Source organism: Homo sapiens, chromosome 4 (genome assembly GCF_000001405.40).
Source record: "Homo sapiens chromosome 4, GRCh38.p14 Primary Assembly".
Taxonomy (NCBI): Eukaryota; Metazoa; Chordata; class Mammalia; order Primates; family Hominidae; genus Homo; species Homo sapiens.
In genome coordinates, this window is record NC_000004.12 from 116227528 (window position 1) to 116231267 (window position 3740).

A 3740-nucleotide genomic window follows, 5' to 3' on the forward strand; every position below is an offset into this window, starting at 1 on the left:
CCAAATACATATTTTTCAGCTTATGTTTCCAGACAGTTAATTTTTTAAAAGACATTTTTGAACTATATTATTGGATCATATCAAATATGTAAATTTTATTCATATTGAGAAAAATAAAGCAGGGTTACTTACACAGAACATGTACTTCAGTGATGAATGGTAAGTACTAATATTGCCACATCAGTTGCAACTTCAAGTTTATAAGTACTACATATTATTCTCCTTTGAACATAATGGATGGAACAAGTTAGTTTGGTTGCCTTCGGGGGATCTAAGAATAAAGACAAGTAGCAGATGGCTTACTGTTGTCAGATCAGCTATGTGAGATTGGGACAAGGTGGACAACCCTAAGACTTCTGGTCCAGGAGGAAAGGAGAAGAGGGAAGTTTGTATCCAACACCCCAGGCTTTTAGAGCACTTCTATAGGGAAAGAGAGAACCTGGCTTATTGTAGCTAGTATGGCTATGTGAGATCCAGAGAAGGCACAGAACACTGAGACATCACCAAAAGGAGGAAGGAAGAGTAGTAGAGCATACATGTCACAGAAAAGATTTTAGAGGCTTCCAGAATATCTAGGTAGGTTTATTGCTATAGGTCTTTTTTTATTGAAATTAACTTGTAAAAACGAAAAATTGGCTGTTCCTTTCAATGCACAAATACTAACATAAAGCAACAAGAAACATGAATAATCATGGAAACATGACAAATGAACAAAATAAATCTCCACTAACTGACCTTCAAGAAATGAAGATCTGTGAATTGTCTGACAGGGAATTCAAAATGAAGGTCTTAAAGAAGCTTGGTAAATTATAAGAGAACACACTACACAACTAAATGGAATCAGGAAAATAATGCATGAACAAACGAGAATATCAATAAAAATATAGAAGCCATAAAAATAACCAAATAGAAATTATAGAGCTAGAGATACAATAACTGAAACAAAAAGAAATCAATACAGAGTACCAAAAGCAGACTTGATCAAGCAGAGAAAAGAATCAGTAAACTCAGAGGAACAAAAAAAGAAAGAAAAATCAGGCAAAAAAATTAGAAACATACAAAACATCATTAAGCGACCAATGAATGCCTTATGGAAGTCACAGAGGGAGAAGAGATAGAGAGAGGGTCAGATATATTCTTTAAAGAAAACTCCCTAAACCTAAGGAGAAAAATGTATATTCAGATCATGAAGACCAAAAGATCTCTAAGTAGAGGAACTCAAAGAAATCTATTCTGAGACACATCACAATCACATCATCAAACGATCAAGACAAACAGAGAATTTGAAAGCAGCAAGAGAAACGACACTCATCATATGCAAGAGAGCTTCCATATCAGCACTTTGCTAAACAGAAACATTTCAGGGCAGAAAGAAGTGGGATGATAGATTCAAAGTGCTGAAAGAAAAAAATCCGCCAACTAAGAATATGTATTTGGTAAAAGTGCCATTCAAACACGAAGAAATAAAAACTTTCCCATATAAACAAAAGCTGAGGCAGTTTATCACCACTAACCTTTCTTATAATAAATGCTAAAGGAAGTCCTCCAGTTTGAGACAAAAGGGCATTAAATAGAAACATGAAGGTATATGAAAGTATAACTCACTGGCAAAGCAAATATATAGGCAAATACAGAATACAGTAATGGGGGCATGTAAATACATTGTAATTTTTAGTACATAAGTTAAAAGACAAAAATATTAAGAATAACTACAATTACATAAAATTTTAATGGATACACAATATACAAGATGTAAACTGTAACATCAGTGGCATAAAGTGTGTTTGCAGGAGAAGTAAAAGTGTAGCTTTACATATATGCAATTTATGATAAATTATTTCAACTTAAAATGACTATTATAAGAATAAGAACTTATATGAGATCTTTATGATAACCACAAAGAAAATATCTATAAGGGACTTGTATTAGTCTCTTTTCACACTGTTATAAAGATACTGCCCAAGACTGGATAATTTATAGAGGACAGAGGTTTAATTGACTCACAGTTCTGCATGGCTGGGAAGGCCTAAGAAAATTTACAATTATGGTGAAAGGTAAAGAAGCAGCGAGCACCTTTTTGACAAGGCAGTAGGAAAGAGAGAAGTGAAAGAGGAACTTACAAACACTTATAAAACCTTCAGATCTCATGAGAACTCACTCACTACCATGAGAACATCATGATCGAATCACCTCCCTCCCTCTACATGTGGGATTACAGGTCCCTTCCTTGACATGTGGGGATTACAATTCGAGATGAGATTTGGGAGAGGAAACAGAGCCAAACCATATCAGGACTCAACTTAAATTTAAGAACATACAAATGTTGAACATAAAAAGATGAAAAAAGGTATTCCATGCAAACAGTAGAAAAAAAAGGAGTCAAGGTTAAAATTATATCAAACAAAATAGACTTAAATCAAAAATTATCTCAAAAGACCAAAAGACAAAGAAGTTAATCTATAATAATAAAAGATCCAAGTCATCAGGGAATTACAACAATCCAAAACATATGCACTCAACATCAGGGTGTATATAGAAATTAAACAATGCACACCTGAACAACCAATGGGTGAAAAAAGAAAAGAGAAATTCTAAAATACTTCGTAAAAAATGATAATGAAAACAAAACACACCAAAGCTTAAGGAATGAAGCAAAAGCAGTACTAAGAGGGAATTTTATATCAATAAATGGCCTACATTAACAAGGAAGAAAGAGCATCAATAAACAACTTACGTATATACCTAGAGAAACCAGGAAAAGAACAAACTAAGCCCAAAATTAGAAGAAGAAGGATTAAAGCAGAAATAAACAAAATGGAGAATAGAAAATCCAACAAAACTAGGTATTGGGGTTTTATACGATGACAAAACTTTCTTAAAACAAGAAAGAAGGCAGAAAACTCAACAAACAAAATCAGAAATTAAAAGGAGATATTATAACTGATGTTGCATACATAAAAACTACTGTGAACATATGAGCAACTGTACATCAAAACAATGGATAATCTAGGTGGAATAGATAAATTTCTAAAAACATACACCTGCTATGAATGAATTATGAAGAAACAGAAAACCTGAACAGACCTACAACACGTAAGGAGATTGAATAAGTAAACAATAATGTCCCAATTAAGAAAAGCCCGGGGCCAATTTGCTCCACAGGTGAATTCTACCAAATATTTGAAATGAATTATGCCATTCCTTCTCTTCTCAAGAATTGAAGAGAAGCTTCTCTTCTCAAGAATTGAAGAGAAGCTTCTCTTCTCAAGAATTGAAGAGAAGCTTCTCTTCTCAAGAATTGAAGAGAAGCTTCTCTTCTCAAGAATTGAAGAGAAGCTTCTCTTCTCAAGAATTGAAGAGAAGCTTCTCTTCTCAAGAATTGAAGAGAAGGACACATTTACAAACTTATTTTTATGATGTCAGCATTACAAACTTATTTTATGATGGCAACATTGCCCAGCAAAGCTAGGCAAAAGTACTGCAAGAAGAATAAACTTCAAGCTAGAAATATACTTGATAAAACCTAGTTCCAAAATTATTAACAGAATAATAGCAAACTGAATAGCTGTTGAACTCAACAGAACATTGAAAACATCATACAGTATGTTCAAGTGAGATTTATCTTTGAGCGGCAAGGATATTTCAATATATGCAAATATGATACACCACATTAACAAAAACAAAGTGTACTAATCAGATGAGCATAATCATCTTAATAGATTCAGAAAAAGCATTTGATA